The sequence below is a fragment of the Homo sapiens genome, chromosome 7, assembly GCF_000001405.40.
Source record: "Homo sapiens chromosome 7, GRCh38.p14 Primary Assembly".
Classification (NCBI taxonomy): domain Eukaryota; kingdom Metazoa; phylum Chordata; class Mammalia; order Primates; family Hominidae; genus Homo; species Homo sapiens.
This window is the reverse complement of record NC_000007.14, coordinates 74,959,598-74,978,164: the sequence shown is the minus strand read 5'-3', so window position 1 is coordinate 74,978,164 and position 18,567 is coordinate 74,959,598. Positions and strand designations below refer to the sequence as shown.

Below are 18,567 nucleotides of genomic sequence, written 5' to 3'. Positions count from 1 at the left end.
ACCATTGCACTCCAGCCTGGGTGACAGCAAGACCCTGTCTCCAAAAAAAAAAAAAAAAAATTGGGGTGTGCAAGCAAAACCTCAGGTTTTTAAGCAGAGATCTAGCTCAGAGGTTGGAGTATGTTCAATGTGTTATGGTGAGGGCAAGCCTGAGAATATGGCACCTAGACACCAGTTTTCCATTTAGGCCAGGCGCTGTAGCTCACACCTGTAATCCCAGCACTTTGGAAGGCTGAGGCAGGAGGATTACTTGGGCCCGGGAGTTCGAGACCAGCCTGGGCAACATAGTGAGACCCCATCTCTACAAAAAAAACAAAAATTATCTGGGTGTAGTGGCGAGTGCTTGCAGTCCCAGCTACTCAGTGGGGCTGAGGCAGGGAGGATTGCTGGAGCCTGAGAAATCGAGGCTGGAGTGAGCTGAGATTGCATCACTGCACTCCAGCTTGGGTGACACAGTGAGATCCTGTCTCAAGAATTTTTTTCAGGCCAGGTGCGGTGGCTCATGCCTGTAATCCTAGCACTTCGGGAAGCTGAGGCGGGTAGATCACAAGGTCAGGAGATCGAGACCATCCTGGCTCACACAGTGAAACTCTGTCTCTACTAAAAATACAAAAAAATTAGCCAGGCGTGGTGGCAGGTGCCTGTAGTCCCAGCTACTCGGGAGGCTGAGGCAGGAGAATGGCGTGAACCCGGGAGGCAGAGTTTGCAGTGAGCCAAGATCTCACCACTCCACTCCAGCCTGGGTGACAGAGCCAGACTCCATCTCAAAAAAAAAATGCTTTTCAAAAAGTTTCAATTTAGCACCGTGGATGGCCCACAGGGACCTTGGACACCCAGAATCCCACTGGCCCAGAACGGATGCAACTGGGCTGGTTTTTCATACTGCAGATCTGTTATAAGAGAAAACCTTTCCAGCCGTGTGCAGGCTCAGAAGAGACCAATTAAACCTTTTACAAGGTGTTTTTTTTTTTTTTTTTTTTGAGATGGAGTTTCACTCTTGTCACCCAGGCTGGAGTGTAGTGGCACGATTTCGGCTCACTGCAACCTCTGCCTTCCAGGTTCAAGCGATTCTCCTGCCTCAGCCTCCCCAGTAGCTGGGATTACAGGCGCCCACCACCACATCAGCTAATTTTTGTATTTTTGGTAGAGTCAGGGCTTCACCTTGTTGGCCGGGCTGGTCTCGAACTACTGACCTCAGGCGATGTACCCGCTTGGCCCTCCCACAGGTGCTGGGATTACAGGCGTGAGCCACTGCGCCCAGCTACAACTGACTTTTTTGATCCCTGGGAGATGAGTCAACACCAAGGGACGACCAGTCCTAAGCCCTGGACATGGACCTGGGGGTGAGGACAGAAGGGGATCAGGACCAGCCCTCTCATCCTGCACACTGAGGCATGGGTGATCCCAGGAAGCCACTCACCAGGCACCAGGGTGGCTTCCTGGAGGAGAGGATGCTGAAGCCGACCTCAAGAAGTGTCTGTGTTAGGTTTAAGGACTCACAAGACTTCTCTGGCTGGACTAAAGGTAGGGTGATCACATGGTCAGGTTTGCCCTATTGTCTGCAGGTTGTTGTTGTTATTATTGTGATGATGGTGAGGAGGAGGAGGAGGAGGAGGAGGAGGAGGAGGAGGAGACAGGGTCTCATTATGTTGTCCAGGCTGGAGTACAGTGGTGCAATCTCGGCTGACTGCAACCTCTACCTCCTAGGCTCAAGCAATCCTCCCACCTCAGCCTCCTGAGTAGTTGGGATCACAGGCAGGCGCCATCATGCCTAGCTAATTTTTCTGTATTTTTTGCAGAGTCGGGGTCCCACCATGTTGCCTCCGCTGGTCTCCAATTCCTGAGCTCAAGCGATCAGCCTGAAGTGCTGGGATTACAGGCGTGCTGGGATTACAGGCGTGAGCCACTGTGCTTGGCCAATCTAGTAATTATTTAAAGTACTTCCTGCTATTCTAAAAAAAGTTTATTCCCATCTCAATGATAAATGGCAGGGTCATTTCATTCCTTATCTGTTGCTACATAACAAATTACCCCAGATCTTAGTGGCTTGAAACAACAACAAACTTTTATTATCTCTCACAGTTCCTATGGGTTAGGAATTTAGGTGTGGCTGAACTTGGCAGTTCAAGGCATTGGCTGGGGCTGCAATCCATTGGAAGGCTTGCCTGGGGCGGAAGGATCTGTTTTCAAAGCCCCGCTCTGCCGGTTGGGGGTGGGATGCCTCAGTTCCTCTCCATATGGGCCTCTCCATGGGGCTGCTTGGGTGTCTTCAGGCCTTGGGGGTTGGTTTCCTACAGAGCAAGGGATCTGGGAGAGAGGGAGCACCACGCAGAAGCCATCCTTTCGTGCCCTAGCCTCGGAAGTCTCATGGTATTGCTTTTACCATCTCCTAGTGACTTAGAAGAAAGTAGCCAAGACAGACATTTAAAGGAGAGGGGGGTGGAGGTATCCCAGCTTTTTTTTTTTTTTTTTTGACATGGAGTCTGGCTCTGTCGCCCAGGCTGGAATGCAGTGGCGCGATCTCGGCTTCACGCCATTCTCCTGCCTCAGCCTCCTGAGTAGCTGGGAATACAGGCGCCCGCCACCACGCCTGGCTAATTTTTCTATTTTTAGTAGAGACGGGGTTTCACCGTGTTAGCCAGGATGGTCTCGATCTCCTGACCTTGTGATCCGCCCGCCTCGGTCTCCCAAAGTGCTGGGATTACAGGCGTGAGCCACTGCGCCCAGCCAATCCTAGCTTTTAAAACCACCAGCAGCTGGGAGCAGTGGCTCATGCCTGTAATCCCAGCACTTTGGGAAACCAAGACGGGAGGATCACTTAAGGTCAGGAGTTTGAGACCGGCGTGGACAACAGAGTGAGACCCCCTCTGTACAAAAAATCTAAAAACTACCACAGTTGGCCAGGCGCAGTGCTCATGCCTGTAATCCCAGCACGTTGGGAGGCCAAGGCGGGCAGATCACTTGAGGTCAGGAGTTCAAGACCAGCCTGTCCAACCTGGGAAAACCCATCTAAATTAAAAATACAAAAAATTAGCTGAGCATGGTGGTGGTACTTGTAACCCCAGCTACTCAGGAGGCTGAGGCAGGAGCATCACTTCAACCCAGGAGGCAGAGGTTGCAGTGAGCCGAGATCGTGCCACTGCACTCCAGCCTGGGCAACAGAGTGTAACTCCATCTCCAAAAACAAAAGCAAAACAAAACAAAACAAAACTACCATGGTTACCTAAAATAGGGCATGTGTTGGGAAGGGAGTAGACAGAGCCAGAGTGGATAGACAGAAGACATCTGATCAAGAAAGATTCAGGCCGGGAGTGGTGGCTCACGCCTGTAATCCCAGCACTTTGGAAGGCCAAGGTGGGTGGATCACCTGAGGTCAGGAGTTCGAGACCACCCTGGCCAACAAGGCAAAACCCCGTCTCTATTAAAATACACAAAATTAGCCAGGCATGGTGGTGCACGCCTGTAATCCCAGCTACTCAGGAGGCTGAGGCACAAGAGTCACTTGAACCCAGGAAGCAGAGGTTGCAGTGAGCTGAGATCACGCCATTGCATTCCCGCTTGGGTGACAGAGTGAGACCCTGTCTCAAAAAACAAACAAAACCAACAAGGCAGAGATGTGGCCAGGGCTTCTGAAGGAATGCATGAAGTCCACCCAGCACCCACTCCAGTTGTGTCCCTCCATCCTCCCAGACTCCCCCCTGCCCCTGCACTCCCAGCCATGCCCCCTGTGTGGGCCTCTGGTCCTCTCACCCTCTACCTTTGCTGGAGAACATACAGGACTCACGTCTTTTCCTCCCACGGGACAGAAACTCCTTTCGCGCTTCCTATCAGGCCCTGCCTACAGCAGGTATACACTGCGGGGTTTCTCAGTGAACAGAGCATACCAATTTGCACCCGCCACAGGACAGTGGCTTGTTCCCTGCAGACAACTTACTCTTTCAGCCTCCAGGCGTTTGCTCCTCCAGCCCAGAGGGATGGGGCAGCAATGAGCATTTGAGCCGCCCTAGAAGCAGGAGGCAGGAGGCAGGAAGATATCTGGATAGTTCAGGAAAGAGATGAGGAAAAAGGAAAAAGGCATAGGAAAAAGATTTGGGAGCTAGGGTTGAGCCAGCCCCTTTCTCTGGGCAGCAGCAGACTATGGCTGTCCTGAGTGGGCACACGCAAGGCTCTGGGGCTCACCCCGTACCCTCTTCACCTATACCCCTCCCCTGATCCATCTGTAGCCACCCACTCCTGTTCCCTGCTTGCTCATCTTGCTTTAACCCCAGCACCTCCTGACATTTTCTCATGCCAGCCATCACCCCATTCTTGGCTCAGATGGTGCTGCCTCCTCTAGGAAGCCTTACTGGCTTGCAGCTCTGTGGTCCTAGAGCATTTTGGCTGCCCCTGCCAGAGGCCTGACACCTAAATGACAGGTGAGGTCCTTGGCTTAATTCTGCGAGAGCAGTGACAGCATCTCCACTTTCCAGAATCAGGATGCGATTATGTGTGTGTGTAGTCTTCTAAGCCTGGGCTTTTCTGGCTCTGCCCTCACAAACTGGTGCTGGCCAGTGGCCCCAGGGCCTTCCCAGTTAATGCTTAATGGCTGGGTACAGTGGCTCACACTTGTAATCCAGCACTTTTGGAGTTCCAGGTGTCTTTATTAAAAATACAAAAATTAGCCAGGCATGGTGGTAGAGACCTGTAATCCCAGCTACTTGGGAGACTAAAGCAGGAGAATCGCTTGAACCTGGGAGACAGAGGTTGCAGTGAGCTGAGATCATGCCACTGCACTCCAGCCGGGGCAACAGAGCAAGACTCTGTCTCAAAAAAAAAAAAAAAAAAAAAAAAAGCTTACTGGAGCTTCTAGTGGACCAGATACCCTTGAGAGTGCTTGACGTGGTTTATCTCATCAAGCCCTCACAACCACTTAGGTTACAGGCATGATCATCATCTCTGTTTTACAGGTAAGAAACATAGCACAGAGAGGTCAAGCAACTTGCCCAAGGTCACACAGCCAGGATGAGCAGTGCTGGGATTCCAGCCCAGGTGTCCCAGGGCTCTAACTCCCTTGGGCTAGCCTGTCTTTCCCTAAACTGCAATTAGACAGTGGCCTCAGCCCAATGTGTTGCGAGGAATGAGGGCTCTGCATGGACTTTTTGCAATTTTAAGCTTTTCTCTCATAAATACCTCGTAAGACGTTAGTGTTCACTGGCCGGGCATGGTGGCTCACGCCTCCCAGCACTTTGGGAGGCCCAGACGGGCAGATCACAAGGTCAGGAGTTCGAGACCAGCCTGACCAACATGGTGAAACCCCGTCTCTACTAAAAATACAAAAATTAGCTGGGTGTGGTGGCATGCGCCTGTAATCCCAGCTACTCGGAAGGCTGAGGCAGGAGAATTGCTTGAACCTGGGAGGCGAAGGTTGCAGTGAGCCGAGATTGCGCCATTGCACTCCAGGCTGGGCGACAGAGCAAGACTCTGTCTCAAAAACAAACAAACAAACAAAAAAAACAAAAGACTTTAGTGTTCACCATGGCTCGTTTGCAAGATTTCCTGCATGTAGGAACACGAATGACCCAGTGCAGGCCAAAACAAACCAGAGACCTGCATTCAGCAGATCCGGCCCAGGAAGGCAGCAGGAAGTTTCCATGGGCCCATGCTTACTGCATACTTGCCTGTGTAGTTTTTGCCAATCCAGTGGACTTTCTAGAATGGAATTTAAAGATAACAGCATTTCATGGGCAAAAAGGAGGGTGCTGCTTGGCTGAGCATGGTGGCTCACACCTGTAATCTCAGCACTTTGGGGAGGCCAAGGCAGGTGGAGCGTCTGAGGTCAGGAGTTCGAGACCAGCCTGGCCAACATGTTGAAACCCCATCTCTACTAAAAATACAAAAATTAGCCAGGCATGGTAGCTCACACCTGTAATCCTAGCACTTTGGGAGGCCGAGGTGAGAGGATTGCTTGAGGCCAGGAGTTCAAGACCAGTCTGGACAACACAGTGAGACCTTGTCTCTACTAAAAACAGAGTAAAATAAATTAACCAGGTGTGGTGCTGCATGCCTGGAGTCCCAGCTATTCGGGCGGCTGAGGCAGGAGGATACCTTGAGCCCAGGAATTTGAGGCTGCAGTGAGCTATGATGGTGCCACTGCACTCCAGCCTGGGCAACAGAGCTTGTCTCCAAAATAAATAAATAAAGAGATGTCTCCATACTAATATTAATAAAAAAACAGAGGGGACTCTGGGAGTAGGTTCAGGTTCCAGAGGGGTTGGGGTAAGCCAGGCAGATGGGGCACACCGGGATCCCACCTAGATCTGGGGTCACACAGCGGTCTGTGCACAGTAATCTCTCTGCCCCTCACACCTAAGTCAGCCTCCAGGCCTGTCCCAGGTAGGTCAGCTACGGGACTGAGTGCCTCAGTCCTACTGTGCACATGGCCATTGCCCACAGCTTCTGGGTCCCCCACCTCCCTGTGGCGGAGAGCATCCATCCGGATGGCAGGCCCCACCTTGAGTGGTGAATCCTGATTGGTCCATGATGGTCTCATTCCCTGTGCCTGTGATAGGCTGAGGCATGTTCATGTGACCCAGTTCTGACCAATGAGATGAGGAAGTCTGTGCTGGGATAGGGGTACCCCCAGAAAGGTTAGCTCCTTCCTTCATGGAGTTTCCTCCTGACTGCCCAGGATGCCCGGAGCCACCCCAGCCATCACAGTGGGGCTATGCTTCTGTGCCATGGGTAGCCAAGCATAAATTGATGACCTCATCAAGCCTTTAAGTTATCCAAGCCTGGGGCAGCCCAACCCATAAACTCTGATCACACAAAGTTCAAACTTCTTATTGGTTATGTCCTGGCTTTCTGTTGTTTGTAGCTCAAAGCATCCTTGCTGGCTGGGCGCAGTGGTTCACGCCTGTTATCTCAGCACTCTCGGAGGCCAAGGAGGGAGGATTACCTGAGGTCAGGAGTTCGAGACCAGCCTGAGTAACACGGCTAAACCCCGTCTCTACTAAAAATACAAAATTAGCCGGGCATGGTGGTGGGTGCCTGTAATCCTAGCTACTCCAGAGGCTGAGGCAGGAGAATTGCTTGAACCAGGGAGGCGGAGGTTGCAGTGAGCTGAGATTGCACCACTATACTCCAGCCTGGGCGACCAAGTGAGACTCCATCTCAAACAAACAAACAAAAACCACAAAGCATCCTTGTTGATAGCCCCTGGTTACATTTCTTCTTCTTTTTTTATTATTTTTCAGAGACAGGGTCTCTGTCGCTCAGGCTGGAGTGCAGTGGCGCCATCATAGCTCACTGCAGCCTCAAATTCCCGGGCTCAAGTGATCCTCCCACCCAAACCTCCTGAGACAGGTGTGCACCGCCATGCCTGGCTATTTTTTAAAAAGTTATTTTAAAAAATTTTTTTTTGTGGAGATGGGGTCTTGCTTTGTTGCCCAGGCTGGTCTCAACCTCCTAGCTTCAAGGGATCCTCCAACCTCAGCCTCCCAAAATGCTGGGATTATAGGCAGGAGCCACTGGGTCTGGCCTTATCGTTTTGAGTTAAGCCCGTCCTACCAGAAGAAGAGTGAGCCCAACGTGCCCTCAGGGAAGCTGAAATGGAATCTAGAAGGATGCACGGGGAAGAAAGGGGTAAGGCAAGAAGTAATACTCTGGGCAGAAAGAACAAAGGCCTGAAGGCTGGAGGCACGCTAGGGTGTGGCTGGAAGCTTCGAGGTGAGGCTGGAGAGACAAGGTGAGGTGGGCCACAGAGGGCCCTCAGCTAGGTCACAGAGCCTCAGGGTTACCACAGAGGACAAGGGAAGCTCATCGGACAGACCTACCCAGGGTCTTGCCTTCTGGCTTTATGCTGAGAATAAATAAGCACATTCCTCGCCTAGTCCAGCCACACCCAGATGCTCCTCCAAAGGTCCTGGGCAGAGGCCTGGTTCAGCAGACCCGGGACAGGGTCGCTGGGCTCTGCTTCTACCAGGTGTGATCCTGCCTTCTACAACGACATATCTTCCAGCCCCAGGGCACTCCTATGAGACTCTGGCAAATACTTGGGTTGAAATCTGGGTCACTCTGATGGTCAGAAATCCATCAAACAGACGTTTACTAAGTGCCTACAAAGCAGGGTGCTACACGCAGCGGAGACGGGACCTGGTTCAAATCCCAATTCTGTTTCTTTCCAGCTGTGCGACCTTGCCATTGTACTTCTCCAAAGCTAGTGTCTTCACCGCTCTGCAAAATATGGCAAAGTCAACGGTAGCTCTCATCACCACTGGTAGGTACTGTGGTGATGTGGTGGGAAGGGGTGGATCAAATCATGCACAAAAAACTTGAAGGTTGATAATCTAGGTAAGAGAAAAAGACAAGCCAATAACATGTTGTTATCGGCAAAAGTTGAGAAATACGCAAGGTGCCTGGAAGAAAGTATCTGAGATAGGCTCTAAGGCTCTAACGAAGTAGAATGTCTAAGCAGGTCGCGGTGGCTCTCGCCTGTAATCCCAGCATTTTGGGAGGCCGAGGTGGGTGGATCACTTGAGGTCAGGAGTTCGACACCAGCCTGGCAAACATGGCGAAACCCAGTCTTTACTAAACATACAAAAATTTACCGGGCGTGGTGGCGCACGCCTGTGATCCCAGCTTCTTGGGGTGGAGGTTGCAGGGAGCTGAGAACACACCACTGCACTCCAGCCTGGGTGACAGAGCAAGACTCCGTTTCAAAAAAAAAAGGAAGTAACCGTCTAGATGGGAGTGATAAGGACCAAGTATCCCTGGGAGAAGAAAACAGCTCTGGTAGCAGATCACTCAAGCCCGGGAGGTGTAGGCTGCAGTGAGCCGTGATCACGCCACTGCACTCCGGCCTGGGTGACAGAAGAAGACCCTATCTCCAAAAAAAAAAAAAAAAAAGAAAAGGCCCACCAAAGCCAAATAGGCAGGAATACAGAAAGGCCAGCATTTCAGTTCTGTGCTCCTAAGCCTTTCAGAACACTGTGCTGTAGACAGAAGGGCTGGACATAACCATTCAATGGGGGCATCTCTTGCAACCTGCAATAGCAAAATCTCAGAGCTTGTGCCAGAAAGGTGCAGATTGGCACATTTAAATCCCGGATCTATCACTTCTTGCCTGACCTTGAGCAAGTCACTTAATCTTTGAACCCCAGCTTCCTGGTTTGCAAAGCAGGTTTAATACCTAATACACAGAACGTACCTGGGGGTCCTGGGGTCTAGATCCTCTCTTCCAACTAGTTAACTCCAAATGTGAGCCACTGGCTTTCCTACTTCAAAAGCCCTAAGGGCCAATGGCTCATGCCTGTAAGCTCATGCCTGTAACAGTTTAAATGTTATGTCCGCACGCACCTCTGACAGGCTGAGGTGGGAGGATCATGTGAGGCCAGGAGTTCAAGGCCAGCCCGGGCAACACAGTGAGACCCCCATCGCTACAAGAAATTTAAAAATTAGCTGAGTGTGGTGGTGCGCACCCGCAGTCCCAGGTGCTTGGGAGGCCGAGGTGAGAGGATTGCTTGAGCCTAGGAGTTCGAGGCTGCAGTGAGCTATGATGGTGCCACTGTACTTCAGCCTGGGCAACAGAGACCCCATCTCTTAAAAACAAACAAAAAAAAGCTCTAAGATCTAGTGCCACCTCCTACAGGTAGGCACCCGGCGTTCTAGGTACCCTGCTAGACCAGCCCTTCCCTGACTCCACCCTGCTGTAGAATGATGGCCTCTTTCTTTCTCTTCCACCAGGCTCTAGGGCTTGGCAGAGGAAGGGGCAAGGTATCTCTGCATCCCTTGGACCCAGCCACACCCCAACACAGAGTGAATGTTTCCTAATGCCATTCCCTTTCCACAACTCCACTCCACGAGAGAGAAGTGACTTAAGCCTGCTAAGGAGCGGAGGGAAAAGTTCAGGAAGGTTTCAGCGTGCTATCATTAGCGCTATCATTAGCTCTTGAGGACTGAATAGGAATTTACTAGGGGTGGGTGGGGGAGAATATTCCAGGCAAATGGAAGAGAGGTAGATACAAAGGCACAGAGGTATGTAGGGAACAATAAGGGAAATTGTGTATTTGCTGGGGGAGGGCTAAAGATGAGGATTCAAGGCCAGGAGCAGTAATCCCAGGACTTTGGGAGGTCGAGGTGGGAGGATTGCTTGAGCCCAGGAGTTGGAGGCTGTATTGATCTATGATGGCGCCACTGTACTCCAGCCTGTACGACAGAGCAAGACTCTGTCTCTAAAAGAGAAAAATAAAAAATAAAAAAAATAAAGATGAGGATTCAGGATCTAGATCCCAAAGGGCCTCGAATGCCATGTCAATGATTTGATGCTATAGAGTGACTGACAAAACTGTAAACGGGCCGGGCGCGGTGGCTCACGCCTGTAATCCCAGCACTTTGGGAGGTCGAGGCCAGTGGATCACCTGAGGTCGGGAGTTCAAGACCAGCCTGACCAACATGGAGAAGCCCCGTCTCCACACCAAATTAGCCAGGTGTGGTGGCGCATGCCTGTAATCCCAGCTACTCGGGAGGCTGAGGCAGGAGAATCACTTGAACCCAGGAGGTGGAGGCTGCAGTGAGCCGAGATGGCGCCATTGCACTCCAGCCCGGACAAGAGCAAAACTCAGTCTCAAAAAAAAAAAAAAAAAAAAAAAAAAGTAAACAGGTGGCACAGGGACCCTCAGGGCATGCTGTGCTAGTCTGGGCTAAACTTAGGTTTTGGAGAGGGAAGTGACAGAGCTATGGGTCACCACCTGGGGGCAGGGATTGCAGGAACAATCTAAGGGGTTCTACCTGGATGGCTGATTATTGAAAACAGTTTAAATGCTATGTCGGCAGGCTGCGACCCATTAACACTTGCTAAAAAGCCATTTCCCACAATCGTCCCACACCATCCACACAGCAGTTCTGTGTCCATGAGGGGGCCAAATAGTGCTATCTCTATTTTACAGACGGACGAAGTGTGAGCCAGAGGAGACAGACTTCGCCTCAGCCAGGCAGGCAGGGGGCTGTGGTCACACATGACCTGAAGCCATGATCTGGGCTCAGAGTGCATGGGGTGGCAGGTCCTCAGGCATTTGACAAATGTTCCGCACCTTCTGAGGCCGGACCATGGAAACACAGCGATGGCCTTTGGCCTCTGAGTCATCTTGAAACTGGACTAGTCAGCTGGGTCACCTGGGCCTGGGACAGGACAGGCTGCTTTCTGCAGGAGGGAGGAAGGGGGACCCACTGAGGGACAGGTCTTCTTGTGTTCCCAGAGGCCAGCAGGGGGGCTTGACCCCAGAGACACGCCTATCCATGAGTACCCAAAGGGGATCCTGAGTTGGGGGCTGGAAGAAGGCCAGTCTCTCCACCAAGGGAAAGGGGCTGAGGGACCCTGCCCTTTGCTGCCTTTCTAAGAAGCCCCCAAATGCCCCCGCTTCCAGCACCCAGGCCCTGTGCACAGCCGCAGCCTGAGTCATCATTCTCATTTGAATGGTGGCCGAGAAATCAGCCAGGGGGCTGCCCAGGGCTGAGGGCCAAGGCTAGGAAAAACAAGGCTGTTCTGTTACCTCCAAGCTTTGGAACGTCAAGCCCGGCTAGGGAGTGGGGGGCAGAGGGCAGGCAGAAGCAGGATCTGAAGGTGTCAACAGCCAGAGGGGGCTTTGTGTGAGGGGTGGGGGCGCGGTTCAGAATCCGAGCTGTTGGCTTTTGTTTTCAAATGACCTGTTTAATCATTACCCTTTGCAATCAACGGGGAGCACAGGCTCCGTGGCAGAGGCTTGGCGACTATTTCAAATCTCCATCCCCTACTGAGCAGCCGGAGAAGAAAGTAAACAAGATGCCACCGGCAGGTCTGGCTCCATCTCGCAAACAATAGCCGGACTGAGCACCCGGCTCAGACACACACATCAAAGTGAGATTTCCAAGCAAGAACTTTTCACAGGCAGATAACAGGCTGGAATTATTTCCCTGTGTCCCTAGAGCTCAGTGCCAAAGGGGGCAGCCTAAGGGGGCTGTCATTTTCACGCTAACCTTGACCCGAAAAGTATTCATTCATTTTGCAGTGAGGGAGAGCCACCACCGCCCCAAACCGCGAAAAACCAACCAGTAACAACTTTATCATTCCTTTTTAACAGTCACAATGGTGGGCAAATGAGACTTAAGTTACAGCAGCTAGCTGGCACTCACACTCCCCTCGGCTCAGGCTCCTTAAACAACAACAACAAAACCCTAATGCAAGCACCCACCGGGGCTCACAATGTCAAACCCTTACCTGGCATAGGGAAAATCCAAGTGAGAGAGAGAGAGAGAGAGAGAGAGAGAGAGTGTGTGTGTGTGTGTGTGTGTGTGTGTGTGTGATTCCCTCTTTTACCTTCCAAGGCCTTCAACTATTTTTCCCCCTGCAGCATCCAAGCCCAGCCTCAAGGCAGATGCATAAACATGCCTGCTCCTCCCCTTCTACGGTTGGGCAAAACACCCCCCCACCCCCTTTCCAGGACCCCAAGGAGAAAGAATCACGTCCTCTGCAGCCCCTCCCTGGCCCTCGCCCACCCCCCGTTTCCCCCCCGCAATTCCAGGCCGTCCGCAGCAAGCCTCGTAGGCACCTTGAGATAAACACCCACTAATGATTTTATGATTTTCTGCTCTGGGTAACCGCGCTCAGCGGAATCCCTCCCCCCGCCGTGGCGACGGGGCCGGCCCAACCGAGGGATGGGGGGATGGGGGCGTTTGTTTTTTCCACGGCCTCGTCCCCACACCTGTTTTTCATTCATTCATTCGTTCGTTCCTTCATCCATTCACGGATCCGTCACTGCAGCCGCCCCAGCCCCCCGGATTTCGGGGAGGGGGCTGCGATGGGGGAGGGGGTGGGAGATGGGGGGGACGACAGAGGTGGGGGGTGGCGCACCGGGGGGTGGAAGGTTGCGAGGGGTCCGGGAGCCAGGACCCTGCGGCTCCGGCTTTGTCAGACGCGAGCGAAGCGGCGGCGGGGGCGGGGCGGGGGCGCTCCCGGGGCCCGAAGTTGTTTTCCGAGGCGCGGCGGCGAGGACAGCGGCCCGGGGTGCGCCCCCTTTGTCTGTCCCCGGCCGGCGCCGCGTCCCCGCGCGCTTACCTGGTCTTGGAGGACAGGAAGGCAAGTTTGATCAGGCCGTAGGTGAACAGCGGGATACTCTCCTTGGCGACGCTGGCAACTTGCAGCCGGTGCTCCAGGATGTGGAGTTCCATCGTCCGCCCGCGCCCCGTCCGCGGCGGCTCATCCGCGGGGGGACGAGCCGCGGCCCCCGCCCCCTCCGCGCCCTGCCGGCACCGACAGCCGGCCCGGAGACCCGGGAGCTCGGCGCCGGGCGCGGGGGGCGGCGGCGGCCGGGCCGGGCCGGACAAAAGGGAGGAGGCCCGCCAAGTTGCAAGGGGGAGCCGCGGGGCGAGGGAGGCAGCGCCGGCGGAGCAGCAGCCGAGGGGCCGAGCGGCGGAGCAGCGGCGCGCGGCGCCCGGCGCGGGGAGCAGCTGGTGTTCGCTGTAACAAACAACTTGCCACTCAAACGCCGGTCCCCGCTGCGCATGCGCGGCCCGCGCGCGGCCTGCCGGGACTTGTAGTCCGCCTGGGGGGGGGCTCCCCCGGTGCTGTTGCTGCTGTTGCTGCCGCGGGGGCTGGGCGGCCGGAGCTACCGGCAGCCCGGTGCACGGGAAATGCAGGAGCGCGGGCACCCTCAGGACTAAGGGGAAGGCCGAGGGGAGGCACGGGGCGGGTGGAGCCAGCCTGAGCCTAGGCGCGCCCTCTGGCACCCAGTCAGGCTCGGTACTAGGTGCTTGGAGTGTAAAGCGAGCAAACCAGACGACTCCGGTGCTGGAGAAGGCCCGAGTCTGGGAGCGCCAAGATGTAGGGCAATCGGTCATGAGAGTGCAGAGAAGCCAAACCGAAAAGCTTGCTGGGGACCCGGAGGGAGGGGATTGACAGGTCAAAGGGGGTGACCCGGGGGAGGGGACACTCAGGCTGGGTTTTGAAGGATGAATGGGAGTTCGTAGCAAGAGAGTGAGGGCGCGCGGATGGAGGACAGAGGCCTTCCAGGCTGCAGGAACAGCGTGTCCTAGGGCACAGAAGCGTGAAAGCCCCCACGGTGCTGTGTTTGGCTTTGTTGCAGCGGAAAATGTGAGGGAGGAGAGAAAAGAGATAAGGCAGGCATAGTCACCAGGAGTCAGGTCGGGAGGGTCATGTGTGCAGAGCTAATGAGGTGGCCATTTATCCCACTGGAGAGGGGGTGATGGGGACTGCGAAGGGTGAATTCGGGGAAAATGTAAAGTGCGTCTGAGGCACTTCCAACCCCAGGGCCCACGCGCCGGGACCACAGAGGTTCCTCCTTCATGGCTGTCTGGTTTTGAAATGTTCTGGGTTAAAGTGATTGGTGCTTCCACCTTTGGCAGAGTAATCTGGGGACGCGATGGGTGAGATCTATCTGCCAGGGCAGGCTGAGAACTCTCTTTCAGGGGAAAATTGCAGTTGTGCTCCCTCACCTTCCCTCAGCCCTCCTCTGTTAGGTAGGAACATACTAGGTTTTGTCATTTCCACAAAAGGGTGAAAAGCCTGTAATCTGTGGTAGATAGATCTTAGAGCATGCATATCCCCCTCCCACTTTATTTTCTTTTACTCTTTTTCTTTTATTTATTTATTTTTTAGAGACAGGGTCTTGCTCTGTTGGCCAGGATGGAGTGCAGGGGCGCAATCATAGCTCACTACAGCCTCGAACTCCTGGGCTTAAAAGATCCTCCCACCCCAGCTTCCCCAGCAGTTGGGACTACAGTTATGCCTGGCTAATTTTTTTTTTTTTTTAACTTTCTTTTTTCCCCCCCGAGATGGAGTCTTGCTCTGTCGCCCAGGCTAGAGTGCCATGGCGCGATCTTGGCTTACTGCAACCTCCTCCCCCTTGGTTCAGCGATTCTCGTGCCTTGGCCTCCCAGCTAGCTGGGATTACAGGTGCTGGCCACCACGGCTGGCTAATATTTGTATTTTTCGCAATGTTGCCTAGGCTGGTCTTGAACTCCTGACCTCAGGTGATCCACCCACTTCGGCCTCCCAAACTGCTGGGATTACAGGCATAAGCCAATAAGCCACCATGCCTGGCCTTTTTTTTTTTTTTTTTTGAGTCGGAATCTTGCTCCATCACCCAGGCTGAAGTGCAGTGGCACGATCTCGGCTCACTGCAACCTCCCCCTCCGAGGTTCACGCCATTCTCCTGCCTCAGCCTCCCGAGTAGCTGGGACTACAGGTGCCCGCCACCACACCCGGCTAATTTTTTTGTATTTTTAATAGAGACAGGGTTTCACTGTGTTAGCCAGGATGGTCTCGATCTCCTGACCTCATGATCCGCCCGCCTCGGCCTCCCAAATTGCTGGGATTACAGGCGTGAGCCACCACACCCGGCCTTTTTTTTTACTTTTTGTAGAGAGGGGTGTCTCACTATGTTGTTCAGGCTAGTCTCGAACTCCCAGCCTCAAGTGATCCTCCAGCCTCAGCATTTTTTTTTTAAAGCTTATCTGTCTCTCCCCTACACAATCTCAACTCCACAAAGGCAGTGATTTTTGTCTGTTCTCCGCTGTGTTCCCATTGTCAGCAATAGTGACTGGCCTATGAGAGACACTCATTCAATATTTGTGGAATGCATCAATGCACCTATCTATGCCTTTAGAATCTAGAGATCCAGAAATCCCAAACAGAAATGCATTCAGGGGCCAGACAGATTACACAGATGTGTGAAGCAGTTGGCTATCAGATAGTTGGAAATGTGGCTGGGCGCGGTGACTCACGCCTGTAATCCCAGCACTTTGGGAGGCCAAGGAGGGTAGATCATTTGAGGTCAGGAGTTTGAGACCAGCCTGACAAACATGGTGAAACCTCGTCTCTACTAAAAACACAAAAAAATTAGCTGGGCATGGTGGTGCCTTCTCCTGAGGCAGGAGAATCGCTTGAACCCAGGAGGTGGAGGCTGCAGTAAGCTGAGATCGCGCCACTGCACTCCAGCCTGGGTGATAGAGTGAGCCTCCATCTCAAAAAAAAAAAAAAATGTTGGAAATGGTACAGGTGAAGGGAAGTCTGCCTGAAGGCATAAAATTCAGTTTCTTAAAAAAAAAAAAACAACTGGCAGGGTGCAGTGGCTCACAACTATAATCCCAGCATTTTGGGAAGCCAAAGCAGGCAGATCACAAGGACAGGAGTTCAAGACCAGCCTGGCCAGCATGGTGAAACCCCGTCTCCACTGAAAATACAAAAATTAGCCAGGCATGGTGGTGTGCATCTGTAATCCCAGCTACTTGGGAGGCTGAGGTAGGAGAATCACTTGAACCTGGGAGGCAGAGGTTGCAGTGAGCCAAGATTGCACTACTGCACTCCAGCCTGGGCGACAGAATGAGATTCTGCCTCAAAAAAAAAAAACACAAAAAACAAAACAACAACAATAAAAAAAAAAAAAGCAGGTGAAACAAAACAAGGCTAAAGGCAAGATTTGGCTAGTTTTCTGACTTCTGCTCTGGATGGCCTAAGGTAGCATTTTTCAATCTGCAGACTGTGTATGACCCATGTAGTGGATGGTGAAATCAATTTAGCAGGGCATGGCAATTATTTAAAAAAATAATTAAACAGGCTGGGTACAGTGGCTGATGCCTGTAATCTCAGCATTTTGGGAGGCCAAGGCAAGAGGATCTCTTGAGGCCGGGAGTTTGAGACCAGCCTGGGCAACATAGCAAGACTGCTCATCTCTACAAAAATAAAAATATAAGAAACTAGCTAGATGTGGTGGCGTGCACCTGTAGTCCTAGTTACTCAGGAGGCTGAGGTGGGAGGATCCCTTGGGCCCAGGAGTTCGGAGCTGCAGTGAACTATTATTGTTTTTTTTTTCTTTCTTTCTTTTCTTTTTTTTTTTTTTTGAGATGGAGTCTCACGCTGTTCCCCGGGCTGGAGTGCAGTGGCACAATCTCGGCTCACTGCAACCTCTGCCTCCCAGGTTCAAGCATTTCTCCTGCCTCAGCCTCCCAAGTAGGTGGGATTACAGGTGCCTGCCACCATGCCCAGCTAATTATTTTTATTTTTATTTTAGTAGAGACGGGGTTTCACTATGTTGGCCAGGCTGGTCTTGAACGCCTGACCTCTTGATCCACCTGCCTCGGCCTCCCAAAGTGCTGGGATTATAGGCGTGAACCACTGTGCCCGGCCGCTGTGAACTATTATTGTACCACTGGACTCTAGCCTGAGTAACAGAGTGACATCGTCTCTTCAACAAAATGGAAAAATTCCCGGCAAAAAAAAACACAAAAAAAATTTTAAATAGACTAGAAAATGACACAGTGTTGCATATAAAATGGGTAGGTTACTATCATCTTTTCTATACCCCAGGGCACTTTAATCTTGTCCATGTGTGTAAGGGGTGCGTGCCTGTGTGTGTCTGCCTATGTGCACTAGAACTTGATATAAAGGTATGTTTTACTGTGGGTCTTGGTAAAAAAAAAAAAATATATATATATATATATATATATATATATATTTTTTTTTTTTTTTTGAGACAGGGTCTTGCTCTGTCACCCAGGGTAGAGTGCAATGGCATGATCTCAGCTCACTGCAACTTCTGCCTCTTGGGTTTAAGCAATTCTCCTGCCTCAGCCTCTCGAGTAGCTGGGATTACAGGCGCGCGCCACCACCCACGGCTAATTTTTGTATTTTTTTGTTTGTTTTTGAGACAGAGTCTCACTCTGTAGCCAGACTGGAGTGCAGCATCATGATCTCAGCTCACTGCAACCTCCTCCTCCCAGGGTCAAGTGATTCTTCTGCCTCAGCCTCCCGAGGAGTTGGGACTAGAGGCATGTGCCACCATGCCAGCTGATTTTTGTATTTTTAGTAGAGGCAAGGTTTCACCATGTTGGCCAGGATGGTCTTGATCTCTTGACCTCGTGATCCACCCACCTTGGCCTCTCAAAGTGCTGGGATTACAGGTGTGAGCCACCACGCCCAGCCAATTTTTGTATTTTTAGTAGAGACGGGGTTTTACCATGTTGGCAAGGCTGGTCTCAAACTCCTGGCCTCAGGTGATCTGCCCGCCTCAGCCTCCCAAAATGCTGGGATTACAGGCGTGAGCCACTGTGCCTGGCCAAAACTGTTTAAAAGCATTGTGGGCTTTATATTTCATCAAGCCAGACTGCCATAAAGTTTGCAAATTTAGACCACCTTGTTTTTGACTTGCAGAATTGCTTTCGCTCAGTTGTATTTGGTGCTTAAGATTTCTGTGAAACTAACTTCCGAAATTCATGTTGGGGTGTTAAGGAAATTGACCTCTGAGTTGCCAAGTCCTGAGGATTCAGGCTGGAATTGGGGTGAAGCAAGTTGAGGCACTTTGGGCCCTGAATTTAAGGAGGTACTGGCTCCCAAGGTAACACAAGTGTTGGATGGGCACCGTCCTGGTAGAATTCCCTCCTCTTTGGGTTCCTTAGCACTGCCCTTTTCTGGTCTTTCACTGATTGACTCTAGGTCTGGCTATGTGATTTTCACGGCTTTGGCCAATGGGGTATTGGCAAATCTGCTCCCTAAGTCCTGTGCATTGGGACTTGCCCTCTCGGAAAGAATGCTGCCCTGAG

The 18,567-nt window shown here is 52.2% G+C and overlaps 1 protein-coding gene across 1 annotated transcript in view, besides 2 other annotated features; it reads right to left on the bottom strand.

Moving 5' to 3' along the window:
• Positions 1 to 13,460, bottom strand: part of CASTOR2 (cytosolic arginine sensor for mTORC1 subunit 2) — a 66,824-nt gene extending 53,364 nt beyond the window's left edge. Inside the window, exon 1 of the mRNA NM_001145064.3 lies at positions 13,067 to 13,460. Coding sequence (NP_001138536.1) covers positions 13,067 to 13,179 — 113 coding nt within the window. The 5' untranslated portion in view covers positions 13,180 to 13,460. The remainder of the gene's footprint in view (positions 1 to 13,066) is intronic.
• Positions 3,863 to 4,397: an enhancer, noted in NCBI's record as "H3K27ac hESC enhancer chr7:74387918-74388452 (GRCh37/hg19 assembly coordinates)". NCBI's record gives its function as "activates a minimal SCP1, AML or CMV promoter by ChIP-STARR-seq in primed H9 embryonic stem cells {active_cell/tissue: H9 hESC(primed)}" and the evidence as "EXISTENCE:reporter gene assay evidence [ECO:0000049][PMID:30033119]".
• Positions 13,613 to 13,722: a silencer, noted in NCBI's record as "silent region_18289". NCBI's record gives its function as "represses an Ori minimal core promoter by ATAC-STARR-seq in GM12878 lymphoblastoid cells {active_cell/tissue: GM12878}" and the evidence as "EXISTENCE:reporter gene assay evidence [ECO:0000049][PMID:35858748]".